Consider the following 13,221-nt stretch of genomic DNA (forward strand, 5'->3'; position numbering starts at 1 on the left):
ATCTGACAATTTCTCATCACTTCAACTGCCACCACCTTGATTTAAACCACCACTATGTCTTGAACACACTCTACCACTTCCTCCTTAGCATGCCACTGTTTTATAGCTACTTTCCCTGTGCAGCATGGCATTCAAAGATTGAAAAACATACATTTTTAGAGCCCCTTTCTTTGCCTCACTCTCTTCTTTCTCATACCATGTCGCATTTAGCTGCTTCAGCAGCCCCCAATTCCAATTCTCTGCTTTCTTTAGCTAAGTGATATCAATGTACCTCCCTTACTTGCCCCATAGTCTGGAAAACGCTTCCGGGCAGAAATCCAGAGCAATCATGGAGCTTACTTCTTCCAGGGATCATAGTCCTTTGCTGCTCTGTTGTCCAACATCTCAAAACAGGTGCTTCACATATCTTGACCAGTTTTACAGTTGTTTACATATGCAGGTGTTCTATCCTAGTACCAGTTACTTAGTCATAGCTAGAGGTAGAAATCTATACCAATGGTTTTTAGGTAATGCATTTTACTCCTAATTTATATATAAAGTTTTAAAAAGTTTTTCTTCCTGAATTCACCATAAGAAATGTTTCTTATAAATTTAAACTTCAAAACCATTACGGAGGCCAAGACAACAGACTCTCACAAAAAAAATTTGTGCCTTCTCTGCTTCAACTTCCATATAAACAAATACATGATTTAAAGTATACTGAATCCCTTTTTTAAAAAGGTGCCGATAGGTTGCACCACTATTGATTTGCATACTTATCTCTCACCTTATAGAGTTTGAGAATTGTTTTAATACATTCATGTACAAACTTGGTCTGCTTCTGAAGACTTCCACCATACAAAGCCACCAGTTCTTCATTGAAGTTCACACTAAAGAAGTCAAAGTGGTACTTGAAGTCAATGTCCTCTGCTTTTCTAAGTGCAATGGAGCCAATAGAACGAACTGCAGAGGAAAAGAGTGAAGTGCACATTAAACAATATTTACAGGTTTCATCCATTCTTTCTTCAGAATTTCTTAGTAAATAACCTTATCCTGCATCACGAATATAAACCACCTATTTCAGGATGAAATTCATTAATAGCACCAATTTAGAACAAACTAATCTAGCAACTGTATGCCTTGAATGCAGTAAGTGTGTCATAAATATTTTTAAAATTAAATAAACAAAAAGCAAACAGATCACTCACTCTCTACCTTCTTTTCCTTTGGTAGGAGCAACAATAGCTAAAAGGGCAGGATTCTTTGAAGAATAAGACATATAAATTTTGCCACACTTATTGAGGTTTTTAAGAATGACAAGGTTCCTACAAGAAATATCCATTCATCACTTGGTTTAGATACTCACGCTTGATTTGTCTTTTTCTCCTACACAGGACATCCAATCCATCAGTAAGCGCTTTCATAATGTACCTTCCAAATCTATCCCCAGTTGAAATTTCTCACCATTCCCACCACTATTGTCCTAATCCAAACACTATTATCTCTTATCTGAACTACTCTAACAGGTTCTTTACTGGTCTCTCTGCTTCCACTCTTTTTGTTCTTGTTGTTGTTTTGCAAATCTTTTTAAAAAATATATTATAAATTGCTTATATTAGGTGGCACAAAAATTGTAGCATATGGTTTAGCAAACAAAATACCTGTTTGCCATTTCATTTTGTAAAAACATATACTATAGATACATTATAATCCACATATTATACAACTCACTATATAAAACTGTAAAATTCGATGGTTTTTAGTATATTCACCATCTCTGGTATATATTTTACAACCATCTCTGAAATCTAACATAAGATATTTTTTAATCGTTTCAAAAACAAAACTCTGTGCCTACTGGCAGTCACTCCCCATTTCTTCACTCCTCCCAAATCCTAGGCCTAGCAACCACTGATCTACTTTCTGTCTCTACGGGTTTGCCTATTTTGGATATCTCATATAATACGTGGCCTTTTGGAACTGGCTTCTTTCACATAGCATGTTTTCAAGGTTCACCCATGTTGTGACATGTATCAGTACTTCATTCCTCTTTTTTATTGAATAATATTCCATTATATGAATATGTCATATTTGATTCATCTATTTATCAGCTGATGGTCATTTAAATTATTTCCACCTTTTGGTTATTATATGCTGCTATGAACATTTATATACAAGTTTTTGTGTGGGTATATGTTTATTTTTCTTGGGTAGATACCTAGGAGTGGAATTTTTGGGCCACATGAGAGCTCTATGTTCAATATTCTGAGGAACTCCCAAACAGTTTTCCAAAGTGGCTGCACATTTTACATTTCCACCAACAATGTATGAGGGTTCCAATTTCTCCACATCTTCACCAACACTTGTTGTTATCCATCTTTCTTATTATAACTATCCTAGGAGGTATGAAGTGCTATCTCATTTTTTATTTATAGTTCTCTGATGACTTATGATGTTTTAGCATCTTTCCTGCTTCCATTCTTGCCCTTCAAAGGAAATTCTCTTCATAGTGAAGCCAGAGCAACTTTTTTTAAAAGTAAATCACACCTACCAGGTTGCTTAAAAATTTAATGTCTGACAATTCTGGTGTTGTAAAAGGATGTGGAGCAAAGGAAGGTAAAATATACTGCTTTTAGGAATATAAATTAGCACAATCAGTAAAGATTAAAAAGATACACATAACCTGTAACATGGAATTACACTCTTGGGTATCTAGCTTACAGAAGCACAGGTTTATGTGCTCCAGGAAACATATGGAATAATATTCATTATTTGTAATTGCCAATAAATGTAAACATTTATTCTGTCCAAAGACAGAATGGACAAACCATGGTATAGTCATACTACAGAATAATACAGAGTAAGGAAAATGAATGAATCACAGCTCACACAACAACTTGGATGAATGTTAAAGATAATGCTGAGTGAAAGAAGCCAGACACAAAATAATACATACTGAATGACTATATTCATATTACAAAATTTAAAAACAGCCTCATATACATAGATTGCATTAAAACTACAAAGAAAGTTAAGGAAATTACTCTCTTAACATTAGGACTGTGATTCTGTCAAGAAAGAAGGGAACAAAGTTTTAATCATGAAGGGGCACAGAAGGGGTTTCCAGGTTACTGGTAATCTACTTCTTGACTAGGGTTTTGGTTTCACGGGTGTTCACTTTATAATAATTTGTAACCAAATATCTATGTTCTATGTGTTTCTCTGTATGTAATATTTCAAATACAAAGATTACTTTTAAAAATCAGGTTATATTTTTCTTACCCAAAGCTCTCCAACAGTTTCTCATTCAAAGTCTTTTCCACAGCTTATATGATATGGCCCGTGGTTACTTTTCCATTCTTATCTCTTTTTACTTTCTCTAGTCACGATAGCCTCCAATGCACAAAACACGTTCCTGCCTCAGGACCTTCCCTCAGTCAAGCATCTCCTCAAATGTCATCTCCTCACAATGGCCTTTCCTGACCACCTCATCTAAACTAGCCACTTCCTGACCCTTTTATCTTCTACCTCCTGAGTCTGTTTTTGTTTCTAGCTTTTAACATTACTGACATATTTGTTTGATTGCTGTCTTCCTGATAAGCATATAAATTTGATGAGAGAGGGACTTTGTCTTGATATGCTCTGGATCCCTAATACCTGGAATACAGCCTGGCTCATGGTAGATACCTGTAGACACGTGCTAGATGAATAAACACGTAAATAATTGCACATGTTGAAACAATTCTAGTCTCATTACATAACAATTCTAGTCCATCAAATAACAAGAAAGCAGGTTTTAGTTTAAAACGAAATTAATTCCAGGTTATTTGGCTGTTACGCCAGAAATAACTGCTGTATCTCCAAGCCAGCATCAATTTGGAATCTGTACACGTAACTTCCCTATCTCACCTTTCTATGTTCCCCCCAGTACTTCCAAATCTCTCTAACTTAAATAACTCCAAAAGAAGAAAACGAATCTCTCTTGTTCTGCATAACATTAGTCACTGATTTACTTCCCTAATCAATGCTTAAGGTTCTGTTCTCTTTACCCTCCATTTCCAACATAAATGTGTTTCCTCTGCTGATTCCCCAAGGGGTTCCCCTTTATCATCTACTTATCCCATCCTACTCTATCTTATTCTTTGTACCCCTCTCTTTGCAAAGTGGTCTTCAACTTTTCTAAGTATTTCTCACATTATTCTCTCTCAGAGAAAATATTATATTTTGGTCTCTCTGTAAGCCCAGCACAGCACTTCACACACAGCATGCATTTCATTTACTTTATTTGATTCACCGAGTATGGATATGATTCAAATTCTTGAGTTGAATTTTATAGCTTTCAAAATTTACTTCCAGTAAGACTTACCTTGCTTATAACTTCCAGCATTACCAGGAAGAAAGAGAACTGGAATACCCGTCAAAGGGAGAATTTTGTGTTCTTCAGCATAGGATCCCTCTCCATAAAGATACAACTCATATGCGGGATAGCGTTTTGCCAGTTTCTTTGGAAGTTCTATTTTCTACATTTAAAAAAAAGTAGTTTCACTTTAATCAGTTTTATTAATACAATTCAGCCTCACCATATGCAATTCTGAATTACGCAAATTTGAAATAGTGCAATATAAAAATATTACTGATATTAAAACCACACTTCATACACAAAACAAGTTCTACTTGTAGTTTATTCATATAGAGAATCAGTCTTGAATTGTGTATATTTTGAACCATGTAGTCTTTAGGAAAACATAAAAGAGGACTACGTGAACTTCTAACCAATACAAATTACTCAAAATAGCCACTGACAATGGCAGAAAGCACTGGTATATGTCGACAAGTTACATGTTAACATAATTGGATAAGTATCAATTATACTTAGAAATGATAAAGGCTTTCCATCATCAAATCAATTCTTTTTTTCCATTTTTAACTATTTTGTAATGTCTCTCCTTTTACTCAGACCCAACTATCTATTTCAGTTGTTATATCTTCAAAAGAAAGTAAGTTGTTTTATAATGCAGCTTTCTGACTTCTCAACTTAATATGCTTTGGCCTACAATATGTGTAACAAATTAATCTTAACCTTATAGCCATGTCTTGGTCAAGACATGTACACTCTTCTTACCATAAACATTCCAGTGAATTAGTATCTATTTCAGTTTTCATGGGCCAGGTGCATGATTTGCTGGCAAACTTTAAACTACCCTGCACTTCATATTATTGTATACCAATAATACAGCAGCTCACCTAACTACTGAGTCAGTAGTTCACCTACATTTTTTTCAGCTTAGTATAAATTATCTCTTAATGTCATCCTCAAAGGTAGACATCTGTGGTAGTAAAGTATACATACACCCTTTTGCTCCTTTTCTTTTTTTATTTTAAAGGAGAGAAACCATTAAGAGTGAAACCAATTACATTGGACGGTAATGTCTATTTAGGTATACATAGATCTAGCAGTGCTGTACATGTGGCATGTGCTTGATAAAAGAATTTAACTATGGAGTGAATTTCAAAACCTGTAAATGTTGCTAATGACTAATGAAAACCCTCGTTGTTCTAAAAAAAAAAAAAACACACACACACAAAACAACAAAATTCTGATCATTTGTGCACCTTCCTAAATATCCCTTTGTAAACAATTTATGCCAATAACACCACAGAAACATCTGCAGAGACTGTAAGCTTATTAAGATACTAGCAATCTTAGTTATCTCCCCAAATACTCAAAATACAGAAATACTAACCCCACTATTCGTTTTATATTTGGTATATGTACTTCAATTCAAATTAGTCCCAATACTGATTGTGCACAGAATACAATCAAAAATGAAAATGATGTGATAGTTTACTTCTTTAGGTACAAATTAAATAAAAAGAAAACATAAGAGAACAAAGAAATAGTTTCCTATTTCCTCCCAATTTAGTACACCATTATTCTTTTAGTACAGTAGCTAAACAGAGTTTGGACAAGTCGAAAATTAACTCAGAAGAACAGGAAACTATCAAATATATCTAAAAAGAAATATTTAATTTTCTTGAGACAGAAAAGCAAGCAAAAAATATTTTATATACTTCATAAAATACTATTATGAAAGCAATTTTATAGTGAGAAAGAATATTTTTTAAAATATGAATATATACAGAATTTTTCAAAAAGTATGGAGATGGGCAAATAAGTTAGAACAAAAAAATAAGAGAGGAGGCAAGAATGGTGGGAGTTGTAGGCAAATGGCAAAACTCCATTTCCAGGCAGAGTTCAAGTTGAAAGGGAATAGCAAAGACCCAGGAGAGGTAATTGACCACATTGACAGAAAAAGCATAGGCATACAAATAGGATGCTGATAAGAAAACAGAAGACGGTCAAGGGATATAAAAGGAAAATACTTACAGGAGCAGGACTCCAATATAAATTTTTTATTCTATGTAGTTTATTTTAAATGAGCAACCCCTCTACCATATTAAGATCAATTACCTTTGTATTTAAATATTATCTCCACAATCCTGCCTCTGCTGTCCTCCTTCCTTGACTCTGCCTTAGTTCAGGTTCTTCTCATCTCTACATAAACTCAAAAGGTAAAAATTCTAATAAACTCCCAGGTAATAGAAAAATGCTGATTTAAGAAACTAAAATATCTATTTTATGATATTACTTAATTGTAAACTTAAACTGAAAAATAAAGTTTTATTTCCATAACTAACCAAAAAGAAAAAAGATTTTGATCTAGATGAATACACATAGTTTTTAACTTCACATAGTTTTTAAGTTCTCACAAAGAGGTCTCAGTAAGGCCTTTGCTCACCATCCCCCATAAGAATAGTTATAGGGGCTCCATTAAAAAAAAAAAAAAGGCCTTAAGGACAACTGAATTTTTCAGACTTGTCTCTATCCTTGCCTTCGTCTCCCTTCTATAATCCATAGTTCATACTGCTAACACACACACACACAGACACACACACACACACACACACACACACACACACACACAACAAAGCTTAAGAGAGAGACATCCTTTAAAATCTGGCTCTAATTATTCTTACCTACTTTTTTTTTTTTTTTTTTTTTTTTTGAGACAGGGTCCCACTCTTGTTGCTCAGGCTGCAGTGCAGTGGCACAATCTCAGCTCACTGTAGCTTCGACTTCCCGGGCTCAAGTGATCCTCCTACCTCAGTCTCCTGAGTAGCTGGGACTACAGGCAGCACATGCCATCACACTTGGCTAATTTTTTGAATTTTTTTTTTAGCAGAGACAGGGTTTCGCCATGTTATCCAGGCTGGTCTTGAACTCCTGGGCTCAAGTGATCTGCCCGCCTTGGCCTCCCAAAGTGCTAGGATTACAGGTGTGAGCCACCTCATCCCGCCCTTACCTACCTTCTTATAACTTACACATGACATGCTTTAAAATGTATTTTTAATATGTTTTTGAATTCAAGATTCAAAAGGATATACATTGAAAAGGTTCTCTCCTACCCATGGTCCTTCAGCCATCCAGTTGACCCTAAAAGGCAACCTGTTATCAGTTTGTGTGTGCTTCTAGAGATATTTTACATATATACAAGCAAATATGTTTATCGATTATTTTTTAGTTTTAACATAAATGATAATATATTATAAATACTGTTCATGCAATGTGTCCCAGCGCATTACCACCTTCACATATACTATTTATGCCTGCAATGTTCTTTCAGTACTTCATACACCCTCCATGTCCCAGTTCACTTTGCATCTTCTCTAAAGCCTTTGAACACCCAAGACAAACTTGGATGCTCTCCCTTATATGAAAAGCTCTGTACATACTCTCTTATTGTGAAATTATAAAACTCAGTACATTATATTGTAACTATACATTACATGCCCATTTCCCCCATTGTATTTATCAAGACATAAAGACACAAGGTATAATTTAGTTCTAATTCCCTTTCACCTACACCAAGTAGCTAGATATACCTGGCAAAGACTAGTCATTCAATAAATGACTTTCTAAATAAATAACACACTTAATAACAAAATATATGACTCATATTTTCTTTTTTTCTTTCTTTTTTTTTTTTTTGAGACAGAGTCTCACTGTCGCCCCGCCTGGAGTGAAATGGCACAATCTTGGCTCACTGCAACCTCCGCCTCCCTGGTTCAAGCGATTCTCCAGCCTCAGCCTCCTGAGTACCTGCGACTATAGACGCACGCCAACATTTCCTTTCAGAGAGCAACCGTTAGGTTACACATACGAAGATAGCCAGACAAATCACTGTATGAGAGAAACAACTCAGACGTTTCTTCTAAAATTCTGCAATTTGCCTAAAACCATTTGCTACCAAATAAAAGTTTTGCCTTGCTGTCGTAATAGGGCAAGAAGCTTTAAAGGATAAAGTATATTTTGCCTAGTAGGCTTGAGATATGGGTTCGTGAGATGTTCAATTAACTCTGAATAAGTGAATCTGGGAAAACCAGAGGTAGAAGATGAATAGAGATAATCAAACAATTTTAAATTCAAAACTTCATTTTTGCAAAGAGTTTCAAATTTATGCCCCATCTTTTAAAAAAATGGATAATAAAACTGAATGTGTTTCAACCACCTTTCTATTTCTGCTGGCTAACTAAAGAAGATGCAAATGAGCAGTAAAAAAAAAGAAAGGCATCAAAAGAAAGAAGAAAACCCAATGACTAGGACATCTCACATCTGGGTATCAACCTGTGAACAATTAGAGAGCTGACTATAAAATATAATTAAAAGTAAGCAATATGTAAAATATCTTTAAAACATTTTTATTCATGAAAGCCATTTGGTTCTCAACAGAATGGCCTCATTTATCCAGAAATCTCACTATGTTCAAAATGACTCATTTCTATAGGCTGGTTTTAATTGTATTTGTAAGATAACATGACCTGGTATGCAAAACAAAAAGACTTAAGAATACAATATAAATACTATCATGAATTAACACAGCTTTTTACATCATAAAAACCTGCTAAAAATCAAAAACTTCTGCCACTGTGATTATTACTGTATTAGCAAATTATTAATAGAAGTGTAAAACCCCAAAAAAGCAACTTAAACCAAAATAACTAAACCTAGACTACTCAACAACAATAAAAACCCAAAGAGCTCTTTACCATTAGCTACACTAATTTTCTGTTTTTCCAGTCAATTTATGAGGCAGGAAATGCGTCTGTGAGATCCATATGCTTTGTTCCCAACGCTAAAGAGAACAATTTCTACTTCTGTGAATATTAAAATAGCTTCAATAATTGTAGGAAATCTAAAAATAAATGGGAATTAGTACTGTACTGTCACAAAATGATTTTAACCAAACTCTTCAATGCGGTACAAAACTAAAGTGACCTACTTCAATCTATTGGGAGTTTCCTAATTATTAAACCAAAAATAAGGAGGGAATTATAATAGCTCTATTTTCAGTTTTTTAAAATACTAAACTAAAAAGGTTTGCTTAGAAATGAACAGAGACGACAGTAACATGTCAAAATCTTCTCCTTCGATAGCATCCCTACCAAATGTTTCCACTCTCTTATCATCATAAATGCAAAACCAAGGTAAGGATCTAAACACAAATGAAATCTAAATTTACTAGAATTTTTCCCATGGGAAAGAATGCTCTTCAGCAATTTAAACCTTAAGTAGTCTTAAGATCAAAATAATAGCAGCGTAATCAAGTAACAGGCTTCCTCCATAATGACTTGTACAAAGAAGCAATCAGGACTTGCATCCTTCACCCTAAAAAAAAAACTGCTGTGATTTTAAGAGTATACTAAAAATGTATTTTATCAATATATGTTATAGTGCATATACATTTTATGGTAGGGAATTATTACAATAGGTAGTCCATAATTAAGAGATGCACTTAGAAATAAAAGAATCATTCGGAAAAATTCTCTTAGGACAGTTGTGTAATTTGTCTGCGCCTCTTTTTACAGCTAGTCATGAATGAAATTCTAGATCCTACTATGCCGAACTAACGAAGCCATTGATTGAAAACATTCAAAATGGCATGGAAGCGGTAGGGGTGGAGAGAGAAGGGTTGGCTCTCTCTTAAACTCCGAACCCAGCGAGAAAACAAAAATAGCACCATGAAATAGATTTTGTATGCAACTATTAAGAGGCTCGGCTGCTGAGAGACATGCATAAACACAGGTATGCACACACACAGGCAAGCCCACACACGCACGGCCCCTTAACCTGCAAAATAAGAGGATCTGCAACATCTTTCCAAGAGGGGATCTAGTTTCCAATTCAATGACTCGCCAGTTTACCCATAGGCAAAACCCTGGAGTCTCTAAAAACAGCCTTGGGAACTATCTAGCCAATATACACTCTGCAGACGCTCGGTCCCTTTCTAGAAATGCGAAATCTGACGAGCAGATCACCGGGCGCGAGGGGAATTTAGGCGCGTGGGAAGCAAAGGAAGGTCCTGGGGCACGGGTTAAGGCAAGAACGCGAGAGGGATGGAGCTTCGGTTTAGGGAGAAGGGTTGAGGCTGCCTCTCTGGGCATGAGGGGGGCTGGGCCCGGCCAGTCAGAAGAGCTTGTGCCCAGGATTTGGGGCTGGGGAGGAGGCGGAGGGACAGCGGAGTAACTACGAGGACGACCACGAGGATGCTCTCGGGAAATCGTCTAACAAACACCCCACCGTGAAGAAGGGACACAAAGGGGAGGTGAGGGGGGCAGAAGGGGGATGCAGAGTCTCCCCGGGCGGAGAAAACAGAGGCGAGGACGGGACAGGGGGCCCGAGAGGCGCAGAGAGCCAAGGCAGGACGAACCCACAGAAGGAAAAAGGCACCAGGGGCCAGAGTCTTGGAGCGCCCGGCTGAGGAGAGGGCAGAACCTTACCTGATACTCCGGGTACTCAAACATGTAGCTCATACTGCACTTATTCTCCTCGAAGCCGAAGAAGACATCCCACAGCCCCAGGGTTGCCAGAAAGACCATGAAGACATAAAACGCCAGGTTCCAGAGATTAACTGAGTGAAGAAACATGGTGCCGCCACCACCGCCGCCGCCGCCGCCGCCCCCTCTACCTCCTTCTCCGCCGCGGGGCCCCAAGCCCGGACTGAGCGTGCTAGACACTGTCCGACCGCCACCCCCGGAGCCGAGCCCCAGCCGCGCGCGCCTGCGCTGATGCCCGGCCTGCCCGTTCGCCAGCCGCGCAGTGCGCCTGCGCGCACCAGGTCCGCGGCGCCTCTGGCCTGGCGACTCCCAGAGCCGAGGGAGGAGTAGGTGTTGCAGCGCGAGCGCGGATCTACGGGAAAGAGAAAGAGGGAGAAAGCAGGGTGGGCTGGGCTGGAGGGTGAGGGGAAAGAAGGGAAGTGGGGAGAGAAAGACGCGAGGAGTGGCTGGCGGGAGGGAAAGAAGAGAGAGAGAGGAAGCATCCAGAGGGGGATGGGCGGAGCGCGGGAGCCCTGGAGACGAGCCGGGGGATTGGGCAGGAGGCGGGTGTCAGATGGGTGAATCTGGGGAGGGGACTAGAGCCCAGAGTCCAGAGGCGATTAAGGACCGAGAGCGGACCGAGAGAGGGGAGGAGGACTTAAAAGCCCAGGGGTCATCAGCTGTCACCTCGCAAACGCCTCTCCCTGCGGCAGTTTAAAAACGCTTCCCGTTCAATTTTGAAAAGACTCAGGCCTCCGCAATTTCGGTTTTCCCAACGGTAGTAGAGCACACTCACAGCTCTCTGGAGCAGTTAGCTTGAAGAGGGAACAAATGGCTTTATTTTCCCTCTTCTACCGCCTACTTGGGCCCAGTAGGTAACAGCGCTTAAAAGCACCGGCTCATTAAAAAAAAAAAAAAAAAAAAAAAAAAAAACACCCGCAAGCCGACGAGATTCTGCTCTTGGTATCAGATGAAAGCCTGAATCACAAAAAGCATCGTTAGTCCTTAAAATATGTTACCAAAATATCTATTAGCACTGACGTCCCCAACAGGTATCTGCGTAATCAGTTTGACGCTGACTCGCCTTGCTCTCCAGAACCTCCATCTCTTGGGGAATGGGTTCCACGTTAACTGGAGGAGGCAATTTCGTCCAGCTTCCATTCAAACTCGCAAATGACTTAATTCGTTTTGAAGAATTTCGGTTCTGTTTTGTACAAAGGAGGAGTTTTTAAAAAAAGCTCGAAATCAATCACTTGTAGCAGCTTCAAAACACTAGAATGTTAGGAAAAAGACATCACTCTTTAAAGCTGACTCAACAGTAGACGGTGTGTGTGTGCGTGTGTGTGTAGTAACCACAGGATTCTTAGAATGGTCTTTGGCACTAAATGAATTTCATTGAACTTGGGCTGATTTTCTGGTATATTTTCTGTGCAGAGGAAGTTTGGCTACAATACATAAAATCAAAGAATTTTAAAACCAAAAGGAAGCTTATAGTTTATCTTGTACAACACCCTGATGTTCAGATTACGAAACTATGAAGAAGAAGTGGAGTGATCCTGAAAATCAAGATAGTCTTTACCCTGCACAGAAACAGTTGCAAGTCTAAACAAACACAGCTAGCTACGGAATGTGGAGTATTGACGGAGAAAGACAGAAATGGGAAAATGCGGAAGCAGTCTCCTTTTTTGTAGGGAGATAAGTCTGGAAAGACCAGGATAACAGGGGAGCTGTAGGTGGTACTGATCAGGAGGGCAATTAAGTAATATGTCATTGAAGTAAGTCCTGTATGAGACGTGTCGTTTTTGTTTGTTTTGAGACTGAGTCTTGCTCTGTCGCCCAGGCTGGAGTGCAGTGGCGCGATATCGACTCACTGCAGCCTCCGCTTCCCGGGTTCAAGTGATCCTGGTGCCTCGGCCTCCAAGTAGCTGGGATTATAGGTGTGACCACCACACCTGGCTAATTTTTTTTTTTTTTTTTTTGAAACGGAGTCTTGCTCTGTCGCCCAGGCTGGAGTGCAGTGGCGCGATATTGACTCACTGCAGCCTCCGCTTCCCGGATTCAAGTGATCCTGGTGTCTCAGCCTCCAAGTAGCTGGGATTATAGGTGTGACCACCACACCTGGCTAATTTTTTTTTTTTTTTTTTTTTTTTTGAGACGGAGTCTTGCTCTGTTGCCCAGACTGGAGTGCAGTGGCGCGATCTCGGCTCACTGCACCCTCCACCTCCCTGGTTCAAGCAATTCTCCTGCCTCAGCCTCCCGAGTAGCTGGGATTACAGGCACACACCATCATGCCCGGCTAATTTTTTATTTTTAGTAGAGACGGGGTTTCACCATGTTGGACAAGCTGATCTCGAACTCCTGACCTCT

At 38.6% G+C, this 13,221-nt stretch overlaps 1 protein-coding gene across 8 annotated transcripts in view, besides 1 other annotated feature; it reads right to left on the minus strand.

Annotated features, from left to right (window-relative positions):
• Positions 1-11,056, minus strand: part of PGAP1 (post-GPI attachment to proteins inositol deacylase 1) — a 93,704-nt gene extending 82,648 nt beyond the window's left edge. For 5 of the 8 annotated variants that reach the window (XR_007082522.1, XR_001738960.2, NM_001321100.2 and 2 more), the window contains exons 1-3: positions 10,819-11,056; positions 4,346-4,499; positions 767-942 (exon numbers count right to left, since the gene is read on the minus strand). Coding sequence is in view for 2 of the 8 variants with exons in the window: in NM_024989.4 (NP_079265.2) it covers positions 767-942; positions 4,346-4,499; positions 10,819-10,965 (477 nt within the window). In the remaining 6 variants the exon portion in view is untranslated. Of the gene's footprint in view, positions 1-766; positions 943-4,345; positions 4,500-6,451; positions 6,545-7,425; positions 8,004-10,818 lie in introns of those variants that run through there. The other 3 variants (NM_001321099.2, XM_017004993.2, XM_017004992.1) reach the window with 3 other exon arrangements.
• Positions 11,005-11,254: a silencer, noted in NCBI's record as "silent region_12206". NCBI's record gives its function as "represses an Ori minimal core promoter by ATAC-STARR-seq in GM12878 lymphoblastoid cells {active_cell/tissue: GM12878}" and the evidence as "EXISTENCE:reporter gene assay evidence [ECO:0000049][PMID:35858748]".

This window comes from Homo sapiens, chromosome 2 (assembly GCF_000001405.40).
Source record: "Homo sapiens chromosome 2, GRCh38.p14 Primary Assembly".
Taxonomy (NCBI): Eukaryota; Metazoa; Chordata; class Mammalia; order Primates; family Hominidae; genus Homo; species Homo sapiens.